The 20663-nt window shown below is 40.2% G+C and overlaps 1 protein-coding gene across 1 annotated transcript, besides 8 other annotated features; it reads right to left on the reverse strand.

The window, feature by feature from the left end:
* Positions 5527 to 5700: a silencer, noted in NCBI's record as "fragment chr6:26053365-26053538 (GRCh37/hg19 assembly coordinates)". NCBI's record gives its function as "represses an EF-1alpha promoter that drives an FKBP-Casp9 reporter gene in an ReSE screen in K562 erythroleukemia cells {active_cell/tissue: K562}" and the evidence as "EXISTENCE:reporter gene assay evidence [ECO:0000049][PMID:32094911]".
* Positions 6099 to 6720: an enhancer, noted in NCBI's record as "H3K27ac hESC enhancer chr6:26053937-26054558 (GRCh37/hg19 assembly coordinates)". NCBI's record gives its function as "activates a minimal SCP1, AML or CMV promoter by ChIP-STARR-seq in naive H9 embryonic stem cells {active_cell/tissue: H9 hESC(naive)}" and the evidence as "EXISTENCE:reporter gene assay evidence [ECO:0000049][PMID:30033119]".
* Positions 7341 to 7962: an enhancer, noted in NCBI's record as "NANOG-H3K27ac-H3K4me1 hESC enhancer chr6:26055179-26055800 (GRCh37/hg19 assembly coordinates)". NCBI's record gives its function as "activates a minimal SCP1, AML or CMV promoter by ChIP-STARR-seq in naive H9 embryonic stem cells {active_cell/tissue: H9 hESC(naive)}" and the evidence as "EXISTENCE:reporter gene assay evidence [ECO:0000049][PMID:30033119]".
* Positions 7813 to 7882: a silencer, noted in NCBI's record as "silent region_16999". NCBI's record gives its function as "represses an Ori minimal core promoter by ATAC-STARR-seq in GM12878 lymphoblastoid cells {active_cell/tissue: GM12878}" and the evidence as "EXISTENCE:reporter gene assay evidence [ECO:0000049][PMID:35858748]".
* Positions 8130 to 8860, reverse strand: H1-2 (H1.2 linker histone, cluster member). Its single transcript, NM_005319.4, has one exon. It carries the CDS (start codon positions 8816 to 8818, stop codon positions 8177 to 8179), a length of 642 nt encoding a protein of 213 aa, NP_005310.1. The 5' UTR covers positions 8819 to 8860; the 3' UTR covers positions 8130 to 8176.
* Positions 8373 to 8422: an enhancer, noted in NCBI's record as "active region_24186". NCBI's record gives its function as "activates an Ori minimal core promoter by ATAC-STARR-seq in GM12878 lymphoblastoid cells {active_cell/tissue: GM12878}" and the evidence as "EXISTENCE:reporter gene assay evidence [ECO:0000049][PMID:35858748]".
* Positions 8513 to 8912: an enhancer, noted in NCBI's record as "active region_24187". NCBI's record gives its function as "activates an Ori minimal core promoter by ATAC-STARR-seq in GM12878 lymphoblastoid cells {active_cell/tissue: GM12878}" and the evidence as "EXISTENCE:reporter gene assay evidence [ECO:0000049][PMID:35858748]".
* Positions 17017 to 17156: a silencer, noted in NCBI's record as "silent region_17000". NCBI's record gives its function as "represses an Ori minimal core promoter by ATAC-STARR-seq in GM12878 lymphoblastoid cells {active_cell/tissue: GM12878}" and the evidence as "EXISTENCE:reporter gene assay evidence [ECO:0000049][PMID:35858748]".
* Positions 19003 to 19502: an enhancer, noted in NCBI's record as "H3K27ac hESC enhancer chr6:26066841-26067340 (GRCh37/hg19 assembly coordinates)". NCBI's record gives its function as "activates a minimal SCP1, AML or CMV promoter by ChIP-STARR-seq in naive H9 embryonic stem cells {active_cell/tissue: H9 hESC(naive)}" and the evidence as "EXISTENCE:reporter gene assay evidence [ECO:0000049][PMID:30033119]".

The following is a 20663-nucleotide window of genomic DNA, read 5'->3' on the forward strand; positions in this document are numbered from 1 at the left end:
CAAATATTTTCATCAGGATTCTAACATAATCAGACAATGGTGATTTTAATAAAAAGGAGGATTGAGTGAAAATAGCAGCCTGAACCATCCGTGATTAAAGTACCTTAATACTGCAAATTTTAAAATCAGAGAGAGAGAGAGAGACAAACTAACACATTTGTAGGGCCCCTCTCTGCACCTTGGAAGTACAGGCCCTTACACTTGTGTTTCATTAGCTTCAGGATAAATCTGCCCCAGATCACTGGCCAAATTTTACGTGGCCTTCTTCAGCATCCTACCACTCTATTCAAATACATCTCTGCAGGAGCACCCTGTGAGTTGAGAATTACTGGTCTGGGATGACCACTGTTTGCATGATGCTTTGGATGGTGGTGCTGTTCTCAGAAGAAATACCAGAAGGAGAAAGGTTAGTCAGGAGAATATAAAGTCAACCTTAAGCAATTTGAACACTTCAGTGGTTAAGTGAGTTCCCTGGGACAACTCTGCAAGCTGTTTTAACTTTATTTGTATTGAATATTACCTTCTTTTAGAGAGGCCAACGTGTAGAAGGAAATAACAATGAAACAAAGGATTCATTAATAGTATAAACTATAAACTAACTGTCATTGATAGTCTTCCACGGGCCAAGTACCACATGAAGTGGTTGGTCTGAATTATTGTGTAAAATTCTTACTTCAGCATTGTAAGGCAAATTATCTCACTGTCTCCATTTTACAGAAGTGGAGGTTCAGCCTCAGGAATTTCACTAAATTCGCCAAATTCTTACTACCAGCAGATATCATTGCCAGGCAGTGTCACACTTTAATATCTTCTAATCAATAAGATAACCCTAAAATTGATTATCATATATAATTTCCTTCTCATATATAGTTTCATACTATCATATATAGTTTCCTTTGTTTCAGAAATTGGACTCCCTCAGGGTGGATAAGGAGACATGGTGGTGTCCTGGCCTAAGTATTGTTGGAATCCTCTAGTCAGAGGCCTGATGTGAGGTGAAGTGGACAGTGAAACTGCCTTTGCAAAAATCATAACTGAGAAAATTATTACAGTGAAAGAGATCTTACCTAACCGACTCCATCTAACGTCTAAACTCCAAGCTGTCCTTTTCATTCCTGAGTTTGGGATTAACTAACTTTGGGAGGAGCTTAGTTTATACTTTTGCTTTTAAACAAAAACAATAACAGCCCTTTCAGAAACAAACCCCTTTCCTGCCTGGGGACCAGACTGCTTTTGCAGGACTAACAAATTAGCCACAAGATTATAAATTATGGTTTAGGAGTCATGCAGCTGGAAGCTACAAGATTCTAAACCTCAAATTGCTCCTGGGGATAAAATCACTATTTTAAAACCTAAGATCAATGCTTGAGCTATTTTGCAGACCCTGAACACAATGGATTAGCTGGCACCACCCATATAGATAAACTGGATTATCTGGTCTTGAGTCCCCCACCCCACCACTCCCAGGAACTGATTTAGCACAAGAGGACAGCTTAGGCTCCCTATAATTTCATCTCTGACCCAACCAAGCAGCACTCCCGACTCACTGGTCCCCTACAATCAAATTATCCTTAAAAACTTTGGTCCCCAAATTCTCAAGGAGACTGATTTGAGTAATAATAAAACTCTAGTCTCCTGTAGCGCTGGCTCCTTATTGCAATTCCCCTGTCTTGATAAATCAGCTCTGTCTAGGAAGTGGACAAGGAGAGCCCGTTGGGTGGTTACAATAGGACAAACCAATAAAATATAAAGTATTAGAGACACTACCTGGGTTTCAGGAACAGGTCAGAAAAAGTGTTTTCTTGGAAAACATCTGGATTCTGCTGCAGAGCAAGTATTTGCTTGTGTCTTCCCAGAGTATAAAAGCTGTCCTGTCCAAGATAGTTGCCACTAACCATATGTGAGTATTAAGCATTGGAAATGTGGCTACTCCAAACTGTGATGTGCTTTAAGTGTAAAATACACACCAGATTTCAAAGAACTAGTAAAATAACAAAGTAAAAACTCAATATTTTAATATTAGATACCTTGTTGAAACAATTTTTGGTTACACTGGATTCAAATCATTAAAATAGATTTCTTTTTTCACTTTTTAAAATGTGCCTATTAAAAAATTTAAAATTACATATGTGGACCCTATGTTTCTGAGGAACAGTGCCAGGACATAGAGGATAGTTATATTCACTCACAGATCAAAAACTAGCAAAACTATGAAATACCTAATAATTTAATTTTTCACCTTAACTTTTGGCATATTCCACAGATCTGTAGTATATTTGAGTGTGATAGCTTAGGAATAAATATGATTGGAACTCATTCATGTTTAGAGAGAAAGGGTGTCAAATTGAGAACCAGGCAGATACACCTAATCTTAAAATGACCCCAAAGTAAAGTGGTTGAAGAAATTAAATCCCAAAGATTTTTGGTGAAGAATGTTGTAGTTTTCATCAGTATGTGTATGTTCAAATGGAGATTAAAGAAGGCAAAATAAGGCCGGGTGCAGTGGCTCACACCTGTAATCCCAGCACTTTGAGAGGCCAAGGCAGGCGGATCATGAGGTCAGGAGTTTGAGATCAGCCTGGCCAACATAGTGAAACCCTGTCTCTAATAAAAATACAAAAATTAGCCGAGCACGATGGCATGCGCCTGTGGTCCCAGCTACTAAGGAGGCTGAGGCAGGAGAATCACTTGAACCCGGGAGGCAGAGGTTGCAGCGAGCCGAGATCACGCCACTGCCCAGCAGCCTGGGTGACAGTGAGAGACTCCGTCTCAAAAAAAAAAAAAAAAAAAAGTCAAAATAAAAGAACTGTGGGCTGACAACTGTGGATTAAGCATCAGTTCTATTAAGAAGGGCTAACTTGAAGATGAATCTTTTGAAGATACATTTTGACTCCAGCTCTTTAGAGGAACAAAGTTTACCTTGATGTGAAATTCTTCAAATAAAAATTTATTGACTTTAAATTTAAAAAAAAATGCACACACACACACACACACACACACAGCTAACTAGCTACATCCTTAATGACACCAAGCTTTAGTCCTTCACCCTGAAGTGGGAATGACAATGGCACTTACTTCAAAGTGCTGTGACAAGAATGTGTTTGAAAATAAATATAGAGTAATCAGCAACAGTGCTTGGCATATTGTAAATAAGTGCTCAAAAAATGCTAGTTCCCAAAACTGTTGTTGCCACTGTACCCTAAATCCCTATTCTCTTCTGATATCCTTTAGTGATGTAATTCTGTCTTGCACTGGGCCTGTTCATCTCTGGTATGAATTTCAACCACAATGTCCTTACTACATTTCCCTCAGGCTTATATAGCCAAAATATCCAGAGCTTTGCCTAGGAGTGTATAATATGATACTTCAATTTGTAGCCATGATAGCACTGTGTATGAAAGTTTGGAATAATGCGCCGGGCATGGTGGCTCACGCCTGTAATCCTAGCACTTTGGGAGGCCGAGGTAGGTGGATCACTGAGGTCAGGAGTTCGAGACTAGCCTGGCAAACATGGCGAAACCCCGTCTCTACTAAAAATACAAAAAAATTAGCCGGGTTTGGTGTCAGGTGCCTGTAATCCCAGTTACTCAGGAGGCTGAGGCAGGAGAATTGCTTGAACCGGGGAAGTGGAGGCTGCAGTGAACCAAGATCACGCCATTGCACTCCAACCTGGGTGACAGAGAGAGACTATGTCTCAAAATAAATAAATAAATAAATAAAAAACAGAAAGTTTGGAATAATGCATTACAAGTAGCCTCTAGTTTTTATGTTACTCATAGTTTTATCACACAAGAACAATGTCATAAATTTTCATGGTTGAATTATCAGTTGTTTATGCAATATTCATTGATGTTTTTGGCTTATCAGCAGTGTTTCTGGAATTATTTGAATATTATTACCGTTTTTCAAAATTATTTTATAAAACTAATTTAAAAATCAAAAATGATATAATTACTAATGTGAAATTAAATATAAGTTTTGAAGAATATCAGGATGTCACCCCCAAATTATTCTACTTTGGCATAAAAGTTATTTTCAGCTGAAGGCAATTGAAAATCAACAGGTGTAGGAAGAGGTCTCTGTCTTCTCTTTACCCAAATTTCCCTTTGTGAAGGTGACAGAAATTTCCCTTGTAAAAGTGTCCCCAACTGCTATACCAGGAAAAAGAGAGCAATTCTTATCACTAGATATGGAAGGTTGGCACTGAGATGACTCTGCAAAAACAAACCTTACTACAATTATTTCTATCTTTCATTTTATCTTCCATGGTTTTTATTGCCCATGTATTTATTTCCTTGTCACATTCCCAAATTCGTCATCCCATGAAGTGCAAACTCCCTTTCCTTTGTTGGAATGGTGTATAAGTCTGTGAGTCTAACCGCGTTTTTAAGGTTTCAATTTTTTTTTCTTTGGGAACTCTGTGCATGTAATATACTAATAAAATTGCATGCTCTTTTTTTCGCATGTTAATCTGTCCTTTGTCAGTTAAATTTGCAAGACACTACTTAGTGAATCTAAGAGTACAGAAAAACATGTGTCCTCATTGACAGTTTCAAAAACTAAGTAAAATTGAGGCAAGAATCTTTTTCATCTTAAAATGGCCAATTTTAATTTCCAAATGAATGGTTCATTAGACCTAAGCCAGTAAGCTATGTGAACAATTGTGATGGAATAAAACAAAACTAAAGAGCATGAACAAAATTGAGAAAACATATGCAAGACTGAATCTAAAGGCCAAATAGAATTGAAAATTTTTCTAATTTTTAACTCTATAAATTAAAGGAATGTGTTTCATTTGACGAGTTTCATCTGTGGAAACATGTTTGCAGAAGACATTCGAGGTTAGGATTAATTGAAAGTACATAAATCAAATGGATTAAGACCCCAAAGGGCATTGAAGGAAAATTAGAAAATCAGCTATTTTTGCTTGGGTTGATTCCTCTCCTGACTAACTCTTGGAGATGATAAGAACATCAATTAAATGGGTAGCCATGAAAGTATCTAAGGGAGAAAGGAACACAGAAGTTCAATGTACCATAACTTTATTTTTATTTATTTAGTTTTTTGAGAGAGAGTCTGGCTCTGTCGCCCAGATGGAGTGCAGTGGCGTCATCTTAACTCACTGCAACCTCTGCCTCCTGGGTTCAAGTGATTCTCCTGTCTCAGCCTCCCGAGTAGCTAGGATTACAGGTGTGTGACACCACGCCCAGCTAATTTATTGTGTGTTTTCATGGCCAGGCTGTATTTTCATGGCCAGGCTGGTCCTGAACTCCTGACCTCAGGTAATCTGCCTGACTCAGCCTCCCAAAGTGCTGGAATTACAGGCGTGAGCCACTGCTTCCGGCTTTTTTTTTTTATGACGGAGTCTCGCTGTGTCACCCAGGCTGGAGTGCAAGGTCTCGCCTCACTGCAACCTCCGCCTCCCAGGTTCAAGCAATTCTCTGCCTCAGCCTCCCGAGTAGCCGGGATTACAGGCGCCTGCCACCATGGTTGGCTAATTTTTATACTTTTAGTAGAGACGGGATTTCACCATCTTGGCGAGGCTGGTCTTGAACTCCTGACCTCGTGATCCACCCGCCTAGGCCTCCCAAAGAGCTGGGATTATAGGCGTGAGCCACCGCGCCCAGCCTTTTTTTTTTTTTTAATTGTTTGATGTTGAGATGGAGAAACAGGAGGAGGTGGAAGAGATCTTAATATACATATGGAAAAATAAAAAATGGAATAACCAGGAAAATTCTGAAAAAGAAGAGTAATGAGAGAAAATTAGCTCTATCTGCTATTAAAGTCACGTTACAACATCTCAGTTAATTAGTCTCCCAAAGGGGAGACTAATGTAAATGCATGTTTAATAAACTGCACCCCCAGTGGATGCCTGAAACCACAGATAGTACTGAACCGTATATACACTGTTTTTTTCTATATACACATGGCAATGATGAATTTAATTTATAAATCAGGCACTGTAAGAGATTAGCAATAACTGATAATAAAACAACAATTATAACAATATACTGTAATAAAAATGATTTGAGTCTGTGAACGGTGGTTCACGCCTGTAATCTAAGCACTTTGGCAGGATGAGGTGGGCGGATAACCTGAGGTCAGGAGTTCGAGACCAGCCTGGCCAACTTAGTGAAACCCCGTCTCTACTAAAAATACAAAAATTAGCCGGGCATGGTGGCAGGCCCCTGTAATCTCAGCTACTCGGGAGGCGGAGGCAGGAGAATCGCTTGAACCCGTGAGGCGGAGGTTGCAGTGAGCCGAGAACGTGCCACAGCACTCCAGCCTGGGTGACAGAGGGAAACTCCGTCTCATAAATAAATAAATAAATATAAATATAAATTATATGACTGTGATCTCTCTCAAAATAGCTTACCGTTTTACTTGTGATGATGTGAGATGACAGAATGCCAGTAATGAGATAAAGTGAGGTGAATGGAGTAGGCATTGTGAAGTAGCATTAGGCTTGATAAGATACTACAGATTTAGGTATTAGTTGAACACTTGCCATTTGTCACATAATCATCTCAGCATTGAGGATAGCACACAACACAATGTTTAAAACAATACAATTCTACCTTAAGAATTGTGGGAATGACTAAAGGAACAAAATAGAAACCTGAGAAACCTAAGACAGTCCAACTGTCCATGAAATTATAGCGTATTAGCCTATGACAAAACAGCCAAAATTGATAGGAGCGTGGAGGGTGGCACGGGAGGAAGAAGGGGGAAGCAGAAATGAAAGTTCATAAATGGTCTTGGGAAAAATATGTCCATATGTTAAACCTTACACCAAAATAGAGGGTTCACCATGTTAAACCGTGTTGTAATGTAAAATTAACAACACAAAATTACTTAAACCATGGGAGAATGTTTTCTCCTTCTTCCCTGCCTCTGTCTTCCTGTCTCTCTGCTTGCCTCCCTCCCCTTTCTCTTTCTTGGGATGAATCCGTGGTCACTATCACTAACAAATCAACTCACTATATTAATCATTGTGGAGATGGTAGAATAATTGAGCAGCTTATCTCCAGAAGCCCCAGTCCCCATAATTTAGGTCTCACCAAAATGTGCCCACCAGATTTTAAAAGAAGCGAATATAAGACGCTAGGCTTTCTGTATTCAGAAGCACCATGGATGTCAAACAGAGGGAACCATTAACGAAGGCCTTTATTAGAAATGTCTCCCATTTATCCATACACTCTTCATAGTTAATAGTACAAATACTGTTTTCTGCATAGAAACATTTGGACTGCCAAACAAAATACGTTTAAAGGAACTTCGATTTTTAAATGTTGCTGTCTGTCTAAACAGGATAAGCAACCGTAGTCATGCGAGGACAAAATGGCTGGCTAAAAGTTGTGCTTTCGATACGCTCAAAATCGATACGCTCAAACCTGTCAGTTTAGCGGAAGGCTACATGTTATGTGGCACAAAAAACTCCCTAGGTCCACGATTGCCTTGGGTGGAGGAAGGGCTATTGCCGCTGTTGTGGCTGTTTTTTAAATGCATTCCTTCGTTGCCACAGGAATGAGAAATTAACAGCAGAGGAATGTAGGACAAAGGTACCTGCACGCACTCTCCTCCCAGGGCTGGATGTTGCCACTACCTCCAGGAGACATCAACTTGACTACCAACAACATGGAAAGCGTCCGAAATCCCAGACATTAATATAAAGAGAAAAGAGGCAAAACTTTTAAGTCACAGTAAAGCAAAAAACACAGAATAAGCAACGTCTTCCACCATCCAATTAAATACAGAATGAAAGTCATGTACTAGAAGAACGGACCAACCCGGGAGCAGGGCGGGACTTTTGAAAATTTTTTAGTCCAATCCGGACATCCCTTTAGACTAAGAAACTGGCTCTTGTTTTGCGGTCTTTTCTGCCGTTCACAGGCCTGGGGCGGGACTGCCATCCCAAAACCATCCGCCAGCGAGAAAAGCCTCCGGTCAGGGACCTAGAAGCCGCAATAAAGGTTTAAATGCTGTAACCTCACCACGGCCACTCTCCAACCCCGTCACCCAATTCGTCTGATACCTCAGTAACTCCCATACGACTAACCTTAAGTAACAGGGCAGAACAAGAAAAGGCAGATAGTAAAGAAATTATCCAGCTCTTTTATTGAGATCAGTGGTGGCTCTGAAAAGAGCCTTTTGGGTTTTAGAAGTAGGCGTTCGCCTATTTCTTCTTGGGCGCCGCCTTCTTAGGCTTGACAACCTTGGGCTTAGCGGCCTTGGGCTTCACAGCCTTAGCAGCACTTTTGGCAGCTTTCTTGGGCTTCGCAACCTTGGCCTTCTTTGGGCTCTTAGCCACTTTCTTGGTTACAGTGGCCGCGGCCGGCTTCTTCGCTTTCTTCGGTGTTTTCTTAGCGCTCTTCTTCGGAGTTGCGCCGCCAGCCGCCTTCTTGGGCTTCTTGGCTGCCCCAACTGGCTTCTTAGGTTTGGTTCCGCCCGCCTTTTTAACCTTGGGCTTGGCTTCCCCGGAGGCTGCCTTCTTGTTGAGTTTAAAGGAGCCAGAAGCACCGGTGCCTTTCGTTTGCACCAGAGTGCCCTTGCTCACCAGGCTCTTGAGACCAAGTTTGATACGGCTGTTGTTTTTCTCCACATCATAGCCGGCGGCAGCCAACGCTTTTTTCAGAGCAGCCAGAGAAACTCCGCTACGCTCTTTAGAGGCGGCCACAGCCTTGGTGATGAGCTCTGACACCGGGGGACCAGACGCCTTACGAGGCGTACCCCCAGCCTTTTTGGCCGCCTTCTTCTTTACAGGGGCCTTCTCCGCAGGAGGCGCGGCAGCGGGAGCGGCAGGAGCAGTCTCGGACATGTTGAGAATCAAAAACTCGGGTACAAGTGGCAAAGCGCCGATGAAGCAGCGCCTGGGCAGGGCCGCTGTATATATAGAGCGCAGGCGCGCTCTGATTGGTGCTCTGGTCGCCCGCCTGGCTGGCAGGCTCTGAGCCGCTGCGCTGCTCCCAAGTTGTGTTTGTTCCACCTCACAAAAGGGGAAAAATATTAAAATTCCCCGCACCAAATCACTTGGGTTTGGTCAGGAAAGGATCTCAGAAGCCTCGGGCTTCATGCTCTTCATTTATTTTTTCCACAAACACAAAAACAACGCGTCCAGGCGTCCCCAATTCCCCCAACTCCGAAGGAAGTCTGGGGCAGTCAGAGACCACTTTCTGTTTTTCTTATAAATTACCTGTTCGCTCCTTTGCCCCTGAAGGTTCTTTTTCCCAGGGGTGGTTGGGCACATGCTTCCCTTATTTTTGAAGAAAAAAGCGAAATGGTTTCCACCTAAATTTTCATGATAATTCTGTTTCTTCACAAGGGAAGTAACACAGGTCCTCTGTGAATTCTTCGTGCAGTCGCACAGGAACTGTGGACTGGGACAAGGATTCCACGGCCAGTCCAAAGCAATTAGGGCGGGATGGGAGGGGGTTCATGAGCCTTGCTAGGGTCCGGGGTGGTGGGGGGCTACAGACTTAAATCTTTGATTTGAAGACATTGAAACTATCAAATCCCTCTTTTCATAGATGGGGGTGGGGCATCCTTTTCACTTCTCTACAGGCGAGAAATTGGGCTCTTTTTAAAGAGCTCTGAGGTCCCCCTCTGAGTTGTGTAAGGCAGGAGGTCTGGCCCTCAAGATAGAGATCATAAAGGAACAAGGGAGAGCCCTTAAGCCTGCAAAAAAGCCAATAGATTTGGCAGTTAGAGGCACTGAGATAATATGTTTTCAAAGAAAACAAGCATTTTTTATTTATTTATTTTTGTACGCTGCAATATAGAAATGAATTTCAGCCCATGAAAATTGTAGGTTACTTTCAGTAACCATACCTTACGCAAGTTACCATATAGGACAATCTCCAGTTGGGAACTCAAATATATCTTTTGAGTTGCAAATAAAGCAACTGACTTTAATAAAACACACTCTTGACTTTTAAGATGAACAATGTATTTGAAATTTATTTTTTTAAATAGCAAAATTTAACACAGAAAGACAAGAAAAGTACCAGAACATGTAATTTATTATAAGATCTGTTGTTGATGAGCTGAAAAATCACCTCTTCTCATCCCCTCTGAAACTATTCTGTTCTAAAGTTTGCTACTTTAAGGTTCACTACTTCTTATTTTACTCTCCGACCCCAAGTAATTGCTATTTTTTTCTTGAGATTAAAGGCAAAGTAAATTGTCTGCCCATATATTTGATATAATTATAGATTCATATTTAGGGACAAAGGTAATATTACAACTCCCCAACAATTTCTGCTCAAATATATGTTTTCATGAAAATATGTGTTAAAGAGAACAGCCTTAGATTGTGGGAAAGTCAAAAGGGAACCTACAAATAAGAGTTCAATGACAAATGAAAAGTGAAACATCTTTTAGACTAAGGGTGACCCCATTGTTTTATTAAATAACATTTGTCCAACATTTGTAAACATTGTCTGCTTGTGTGCTTATGTCCTCTGGGAATTAACAGTCTAATGAGATTAGTGATGGATGAATTAGCAGTGGTGGAAAAACACTTAGACCGGCTATTCCTCAGAGTGACAGGGTATAAGAATTATACAAAATTATGGAAAGTGTATAAACAATTGAAGCACCTGCATCATACTAATATATTGTAGTAAAAGAAATAATATAAGGCTGGGCCCCGTGGCCCACGCCTGTAATCCTAGCACTTTGGGAGACTCGGGGGCGGATCACCTGAGGCCAGGAGTTTGAGATCAGCCTAGCCGACATGGTGAAACACCATCTCTACTAAAAGTACAAAAATTAGCTGGGGGTGGTGGCACTCAGGAGGCTGAGGCAAGGGAATCGCTTGAACCCGGGAAGCAGAGGTTGCAATGAGCCGAAATGACGCCACTGCACTCCAGCCTGTGCAACAGGGTGAGACTCAGTCGAAAAAAAAAGAAAGAAAGGAACAATATAAGAACATGTCACTTAGGCCAGGCTTGGTGGCTCACGCCTGTAATCCTAGCACTTTGGGAGGCTGAGGCGGGCAGATCGCCTGAGGTCAGGAGTTCGAGACCAGCCTGGCCAGCATGGTGAAACCCCATCTCTACTAAAAAAAATACAAAAATTAGCCTGGCGTGGTGGCAGGCAACTCTAATCCCAGCTACTCAGGAAACTGAGGCAGGAGAATCATTTGAACCCGGGAGGTGGAGGTTGCAGTGAGCCGAGATTGCCTCGTTGCACTCCAGAAGCCGAGATTGCCTCATTGCACTCCAGAAGCCGAGATTGCCTCATTGCACTCCAGCCTGGGCAACAGAGCAAGACTCCATGTCAAAAAAAAAAAAATAAAATAAACATTTCACTTAGATCTTATTCTATGTGCAATGAACCCCCTTCTCATTTAAAACTCAGCTAAGTATATCCATCATGAAAATAGCTATGAAACGTCTTGATTACCAGGTAACTGGACCTTCTTTCACTATAAATTGGTGTCCTGGTTTATAAATCGACATGTAAATTTAATCGCTGTGATTCAGTTCTCTAATATGATTTTTCTAGTCGACTCAATCTAATCACATCTCTTTATATGCAAATCTCAAGTCCAGACCTCAAGCCATTAGGACATCCAGCCACCCAGAATCTTGTCCCCAACCTCCTGGCAACATGGTGGAGGCCAGAAGACAGAGAAACATGTAACCAACCCTTTTCTAGATCCTTTATAAAGTGTGTTGAAAAAGTTATGCAAAACTTAAAAGCAACGCAAAAATATTTCTCCATATCCTTCCAAGCTATATTAGAGAATTATCTAAAAAGCCTACTTATGGGGTACCTGATGATGTAAGGCAATACTAGACAGTAAAATAGAATGTGAATCACATAAATACTTTCCAGATTTCTAGTGGTCACATTGAAAGAATGAAAAGAAACAAGTAAAATTAATTTTAAGATATTTTATTTAACTTAATATATCTAAACTATTATCACTTCAACATATAATAAATAAGCTAAAAAAAAAGACAGTTGACATTCTTTTTTAAATGATAAATCTTCAGAACCTGGTGTGTATTTTACACTTTTAGAACATTTTAAATCAGTCTAGCTATAGTCCAAATGGTCAATGATCACGTGTAGCTAGTGGTACCTTATTGGACAACACTGTCCTACGTGAAAGTAACTCTGACTTAATGTTTACATTTTATTGGGTCCAGACTATCTAAAAGTAAACATTCACTTGTAGAAGTTTAATAAATTAATAAGGATTTTGTCATAGAGATGGAAATGAATTCTTAATATAGAAAAAATGACCCTAAAAGTTATTATTGTATTGCCTAATAAGTCATTAAACAACTTTATATCTGATTTTCCCTTCCTCTTCCAGTATACATCCTTTCCCTGACCAAATACATATTTTATTCTCCCGTATCTTCCTTTGACCTAATTGTGATTCTGCTTCCTCCTTCATTAATGAATTAAATCATTCATTGACACATACACAAGCTCACTATATATAGTACATATATGTCAGTCATGTTTTTAACTTCCTGAATGTTGTACTTTGACACTTGGTTGTTCAATTTCGCCTAAGAGCTCTGAATCAGAACCTTTAGAAGCCATTCTGAAAAACTGGAAGATACAAAGCTTTTGACTATCAACTCCATAGCAACCTGATATCTGGTTGGTGTTCCATGGAAACTGTATTTCTCAAATTTTGAAATAAGATTGAACAAGCCTGTGAGCAACAACAAAAAAAAAGTCTATTAGAATGACCTCTGGCCGGGCGGGGTGGCTCACGCCTGTAATCCCAGCACTTTAGGAGGCTGAGGTGGGCAGATCATGAGGTCAGGAGTTTAAGACCAGCCTGACCAACATGGTGAAATTCCGTCTCTTCTAAAAATACAAAAATTAGCTCGGCATGGTGGCGTGCATCTGTAATCCCAGCTACTTGGAAGGCTGAGGCAGGAGAATCACTTGAACCCAGGAGGCGGACGTTGCAGTGAGCTGAGATTGCGCCACTGCACTCCAGCCTGGGTGACAGAGCGAGACTCTATTTCAAAAAAAAAAGAATGACCTCCAAGGGAAAGTTCAGATTAAGGATGTGGTCGTCCCACCCAAAACTGATGTCCTCAAGAAAGCCACAAACAAATTGAGGACACAGTTAAAATATTGTAATGCAATATATTGTGTATTCTTTTATTTACACACACATCATAAATATTATAGGTTGACTAGTTTTGTTTCATGCCACACTCTTCAGGGTCTGGAAACCCTGGTAGAAAAGTTAAAAATGCAGAGCAAAATGTCAAGTCCAAACAGCAGTAATGGGGCTAGAGAGAGACTCAAACAGCCAAGATATATTCAAAGGATAGTGAGAGGAGTTGTTAGGACAGGTGTAAGGAATGAGGGTGACAGCTGGTTTTTCTTTCACTTTTTCCTTCTACTATGCCAATTAGAGTTCTTTGTTTTTGATAGAGACAGGGGTCTCACTATGTTGCTCAGGCTGGTCTCAAACTCTTGGCACCAAGTGATCCTCCTGCCTCAGCCTCCCAAAGTTTTGAGATTATAGGTGTGAACCACCAAGCCCAGCCTTAGAGTAGGGTTCTGTCATCTTTTGGATGTAGCTAACCTAATATTACTAAATCCTGTATAGGCCAGAACTTTGAATGATTTAAAGCTGTTTTTTCCTGACTCACCAATTAATGAAGCTAATAATAACAGCCACCCCACTGGCAGTGCCTGCCTCAAAGAGTAAGTGTTAGTGTTGCTATCTGCTTGAGACCAACAATACAGGGACTCCAGGATATTTTCAGCCTAAATAAGATTGTAGGGGCTCTTGTCTGTTGCCTGGCTTCAGCCCCATAAACTTTTTTTTAACATATAACCCAGAGCCACAGTTTTGCTCATATTTCAATCTTTGAAGGCAAATGGCCAACAATTAGATTAAACCTGAGGCTAAATATTTCCTCACCTCAAGGGCTGAGACGAAAGTTACTGCATCTGTATTCCCTAACACGCCCTCAAAATGGGTTGCAGAAAACAACAGAAAATATACTAAAGCACACAGTAGGAGCATAATAAATAGTGATTAGCTGGGTGCAGTGGCATGCGCCTGTAGTTCCCGCTACTCTACTCATGAGGCTGAGGCAGGAGGATCACTTTTGCCAAGCAGTTTGAAGTTGCAGAGAGCTATGATCACAACACTTCACTCTAACCTGGGCAACAGAGCAAGACTCTGTCCAGAAAAATAAATACATAAATATAAAATTTAAAAATATAAATAAATACATAGAGAGTATTACAAAAGGAACAATATATTGCAAAATATATTTACCTAACATTTTGAAATTGCCATTATAATTGTATAAGTGACATAGGAAACTGGGTCATTAACAGCTATCTTATTCTTCAAGCTTCTTTCAAATGATGTCAAAGCATTTCAGAAAGTCAAACCTACCCTCAAAGGATAAGAATTTGTCAATTGTGAGGATATGCACATTTTTACACCTTCTCAATCTGTGTCTATATGAAGGCAGTTATAAAGCACAAGATGCAAACGTATATTAGGCAATAGTCTTCATCAGAATAAGTACATAACCTGACACAATGACTATATTGGAAGAAACATGGAAATGCAAATTTCAATAGATTGGTTGACATTATTTTTTAATGTCTAGTTTTTTACTGTGCTGTGTTTTTACACACTTAATGAGCACTTGTTAAGCACAGGACACCAGGAGAAATAATAAAAACTAAGATCAGCCTAGCAGTGTGTCCTCTCAAGAACTTATACCTGGTGGGACAGATACAGACAAATATAACCATCATACAGTGTGAGAAATCGATAGAAAAGACACAGCCACTGAGAGCACAAAAGAATAAAAACATAAAATGTTAATGTGCTGGCTAAACGTTTGCCTTCAAGTATTTACCAGTCTAGCTGGGAAAATAAGACAGAAGACAACAGCCTAAAATAGTGGTTCTTAAACATTTAGATATCAGGACTTCTTTACACTCCTAAAAACTATCAGGCCTCCAAAAAATATTTTGCTAAATATAGGCATTTATCACTTTGGAAAACAAAGCTGAGTATTAATTATTTAATTATTTATATTAATATTTATTTGATAACCTTTAAAATATTATAAAATTAATATTTATTTATAATGCATATATGTGATTATATAGTTCATATGTAGCCATATATTTATCATATATACCATAGATTTATGTTATATATTACATATGTATGAAGAAAAAATGGAAAGTAAACCCAAAAGTTCCCCATTCCCTAACCCATTCAAAACCCTGGAAGTCCCAGGCTAATCTGAAACTTGTAAAACTGCCTGCATGTAGAGAGCACAGCTGAGCTGGTAGTGTGGAAGAGCAGAAAGACAGCAGTTCTGGAGCAAGGAAGCTTTATATTTAATCCCAGTTTCTCCATTCATGAGCTTGGTTACCCTGCCAAGTTCCTTCTCTGTAAAATGGGAATAATACTCCCAGAAATACAGTGAGGATTAAATTAGATAATGTGCATACAGTTCCTGGGATTGGGATCAGCACACAGTAGCCTCTCATTTGAGGCATATTTGCATTAGATCCTTGCTGTATGATATCCTTCTGTTTCTTTCTTTTTTTTTTTTTTCCTTTGGTGACCCTAAGAAAGATGGTACTCTCCTTAACTTGGAGGGCTGGATGCGAAGAGACCAAATCCAACAAGCTGGTTCATTCTTTCTAATTATGTGTGCTTCCCTTAGCTGCCTCTGAAAGGATACAGGCCCTAGGTACTAGCCCCAAGAAGCCTAATGATAAGAGATAGAGCTGGACCACCAGAGAAGAGATGAGTGTGTATGTGTGTGTGTGCAAGCAATTATATGTGTGCATTTAGGAGTGGTAGGTGTGTAAACAGTCTAGAACACTCATTCTCACTGTGATGTGAGGATGTATCCCCACATCACTGTTCTGGGAGCTCACTCCTTGTCCATCATCCAAGCTTATGATGGACAATTCTTTCCCAAGTGGGAAAGAATTCTGATGACACTCACATAACTACCCAGTCCCAACTTTCTGTATCCAAGGTGTGTGCATACCTTTGATAGCAGGCAGGTGTGCCTAGCCAATATATTAGGAGCATGGTATTCCAGCACTCTGCACTTTTTTACTATAGAATTCATCTCAACCTGCTTACATTACATGAAAGTTTTGATTGATATCAAATTTTTATTATGTTTGCTTATCAAAGGATTTGTAATTATGCTTCAGTTGATACATAGATTGTTTATATTTTTCATGGTTACTTGAAGCACTTATATTTTCCTCATACTTTTACAAAGTAATCAAGGAAAAATACAGAGGCAGCTTAGTATATTAGTCAAAAGAATAATTAGACTGTCTTGGAACCTGGAATGTCTGAGTTCAAATTCAATTTTGCCGTTTTACCAGCTGTGTGACTTTGGGTGAGTTAATAAACCTTTTCGTGTCTCAGTGTTCTCACATGTAAAGAGACAATAATAAGCCTACCTGTTTCATGGGTCATTATGAGGATTAAGGAGTTAACATTTAAATAGTTCTTAGAACAACCTCTGACATATTTTAAGTACAAAAATATATACATATATTAAATAATAACTTTTCTAAAACATCCTACCTACAATCTTGTGTGCAAATTGGTGGCTCAATTCTGCAACTGTTGTTGGTGGTGTTGTTGTTAAGCTTTTGTTTGTCATGACTGTTATCAGTAATATTAATACAGACAGTTAACTGAACCCTTCCTCTGCACCAGGCATTATATGGACTATTTTCATTCTGACTCCCTGCATTCTATGAGACAACCACCATTGTAATCATTCTCACGTTGCCAATAAGGAAATGGAGAATGAGAATTCAGACTTCTCCAAGAAGTGCTGCAGACTGATTATAAATCATGCATCCTAAACACACACATATTAAAGTATCAACTAAATCAAACAGAATAAAACTTTTGTTTTTCTATCTACAAAATGCATGAATTAAAATATGCCCCAACTACTTAACTAATATATTTAGTAAGTAGAGGGATGGAAGCGTTTTCACTCCTTCAATACATTCTTCATCAACCTCTCTCACCTTACCCCTCTGTCACAGGCATTTCCTATGTCATGCGGTTTTTCTGATGTACGCTAGGTGGCAGTCAAAACCACGAACTCTTGAAAGAGAGTATATTCCTATTTTTCTGCAGCCTCAACCTCCAGGGCTCAAACGATCCTCCTGCCTCAGCCTCCTGAGTAGCTGGGGCCACAGGTGCGAGCCACCACACCTGGCTAACTTTTACATTTTTGATAGAGACGGGGTCGCCATGTTAGCCAGCCTGGTATCGAATTCCTGACCTCAGGTGATCTGCCCGCCTCAGCCTCCCAAAATGTTGGAATAACAGGAGTGAGCCACAGTACCTGGCCGGTAATTTTTAACTTCTAGCTATACACTTAGTTTTTTGTCCTTTTCAGTGGACAGAAATTATAATGCCTGTTTGACAGGGGATAATTCTGAGGCACTGGGAAGCCATGAGACTGCATGGATTGCACAGGCAGGCAAGAACATGGGAAGGAACAAGTGTCTTAGACACTTGTCTCAGTGGTCTAGAAAAATCATGCTAGCTGATTCATTCACTCCACAAACAACTGATCAACATCTTCAAGAAGCCTAACAATGTACTGAGTTCAGGGGACAAGAAAATAATTCAGACAGGCTCTACCTTCATGGTGGTGTTTGAAGAATAGGGATCTAGAAAACGGTAGGTAATAGTGGCTGTGCAAAAGATATCAGAGATGATATGAAAAGGAGGGACTAGACCATTTTACCCAGGAGTGGAGGTTAAACATAGGGTCTTTAAGGGAAACGTAAAAATATTAATTCTTTTCATTTTTGAAGTAAAATGACCATCGCTTCTCGGCCGTTTGGCTAAGAACAAGTGAAGTAAAATGACTGAGGATGACAGACATAAATACTGCTATACAAACATGGTAGCACTGAAATTGGCTCTTGCCTGACAGGAAGCAAAATTATAAAATTCATTATTTAGATATATCAATAATGATGGTGATCAGGCTGTAATAATAATGTTATTAATCATTATGTATCAATAAGAATACAGGTGTGTGACTTTACAATGTGCCTAAGAGCAACCCAATATTTTGATTGTAAACCACATTCCCTTAAACACACACACACCTCAAACAAGACCCCATAAAGCAGACTGCACTAAAGTGGAGGTTATGTAAAAGTCCAACAGAATAAGAACCCTCCCCCATTGTGTATTAATCTGTGAACTAAAAAAAAATTTCATTAAATTGAAAATATCTAATTGTCAACTAGCAATTTTAAAGAGTTTAGGCAGAAAATGAAATATAAAGCTTTTTTTTAACTTTTAGATTTTTCAAAGCTAGCAGAACTGCTGAAGAATAACAATTCAAAACATAGGTTTGCTTTGGTTTCAATCTCTGTAGCCAAAGGCATTTACAATGTAGGATGTTGTTTGTGCTTTCAGACACTAGATGACGCTCCAAATCAAAATGCCGGTAGTTGGACAGCCCCTGATCAAGCCGCCCGGCAAATCATTAACTGGGTTGACACTGTATTACTCAGCAGATTTCAAAACTCATTCACATACAGAGTCTTTTGGTGGACAAAAATAATTATTACCCACAATTGACAGTGACAGTACTGAGAAGCTGGGAAACTGAAGTAGGACCCTGGAGCAGCCAAGTACAGAGACTGGCTCCCAGGACCTTAGGAGTTAATACTATTCCTAAAGAGAATAAATTGTCAAATAGACAAGAAATTCATGTGGGTTGATGCATTCACTTCCCCAAAACAATTATTAAGCAGTAGAAATGATAACTACGCTGGTAGTGGAAATAGTTTACAGTAAAAGGGAGAAGACATGCAAAAACCAAAAAAAAAAACGGGGCCGGGCGCAGTGGCTCACTCCTGTAATCCCAGCACTTTGGGAGGCTGAGGCGGGCCGATCACGAGGTCAGGAGATCGAGACCATCCTGGTTAACAAAGTGAAACCCCGTATCTACTAAAAATACAAAAATTAGCCGGGCTTGGTGGTGGGTGCCTGTAGTCCCAGCTGCTCAGGAGGCTGAGGCAGGAGAATGGCGTGAATCCGGGAGGCGGAGCTTGCAGTGAGCGGAGATCACACCACTGCACTCCAGCCTGGGCAACAGAGCAAGACTCCGTCTCCAAACAACAACAACAAAAAAACAGGCAGTGATGTTTTATGTGGGTCAGTGTGAAGTAGAGATCAAAGGAGAAAACGGCCAATCTTACCAAATAATGGATGCAGAAATAATCTTCATGGAGAAGCCACTTTAATTATGTCTTAAATGAGAGTAACAAATTAAACATAAGAACCTGTAGGGGCTAAGGGAAAACTTACTCTTTGGCCTCTGAAGAGTCGCTGAAAACCACCGACAAGAGGAAGATTAATAGGATAAAATGCATCCAATTTATTATTATTATTATTATTATTATTATTATTATTATTATTTTTAGACGGAGTCTCACTCTGTCACCAGGCTGGAGTGCAGTGGCGCAATCTCGGCTCACTGCAACCTCCGCCTCCCGAGTTCAAGCAATTCTCCTGCCTCAGCCTCCCCAGTAGCTGGGACTACAGGCATGTGCCACCACGCCCAGCTAACTTTTGTATTTTTAATAGAGACGGGGTTTCACCATTTCGGCTAGGGTGGTCTTGACCTCGTGGTCTGCCCGCCTCAGCTCCCAAAGTGCTGGGATTACAGGCGTGAGCCATTGCACCCGGCTGCATCCAATTTATTAATGTGTATATTAATAAATTATCCAATTTATATCCAATTTATTAATGTGTATTAACATGTACAGGGGAAATTGTCCATTTTTATTTTTTAGATTCAACAAAGTATGGGCCGCCGTGTAGAAATAGGATTGCTAATAAACAGAGTAGGGAAACCCAGCAAGGCCTGTCTGTCTAGATTCTTCTTCGCCTCTCTGTGCAGCATTCCTTCCTTCTGGATCCTCTCTGGAATGCGGTCTGGTGATCTATGATCAAATAAGGTAGTTCAGATAATTTCTTTATGGCCAGTTTTTACACAGAAAAACAGAGGGAAAGTTAGAGTAATATTTTTAGGTTTTATGGCTGGGCTCTGGGGAAAAGGTGTTTTGATTTCTATGACCTAACTTGAGGAAGAGGAATTCTCATTTCTATGGCTAGACTCCGGGGAGAATGGGACTCAGAGACAGGAGGGCAGGAGAAGATCAGAGAAAAACTTTGGCTTCTGCGGTCTTTATTTTGGGGTATTGTTTTCTGAGTTCCAACAAACCCCAAGGACCTACAAAGACTGCATACTTTTTTTTTCCTTTTTATTAATTGTGAGATAACCACAGCATAGGCAATTTGTTTTTTGTTTTTGTTTTTGAGACAGGATTTTGCATTGTTGCCCAGGCTGGAGTGCAGTGGCATAATCATAGCTCACTGCGTCCCCAAACTTCTAGGCTCAAGAGATCCTCCCAGCTTAGCCACAACTGAGAGGTGCTACTAGCATTTAGTGAGTAGAGAACAGATATGACTAGAGGTTCATTAAGTGTTTTGAGCCTTTACAGCTTCAAAATTGTCTTTGCTAACCCCTAACTTTTGGATGCTACAGAGGGCCCCTGGAGTATCCAAAGGAGAGGTAAACAGGATCATTTGACACGTTTAGTTA

Source organism: Homo sapiens, chromosome 6 (genome assembly GCF_000001405.40).
Source record: "Homo sapiens chromosome 6, GRCh38.p14 Primary Assembly".
NCBI lineage: Eukaryota > Metazoa > Chordata > Mammalia > Primates > Hominidae > Homo > Homo sapiens.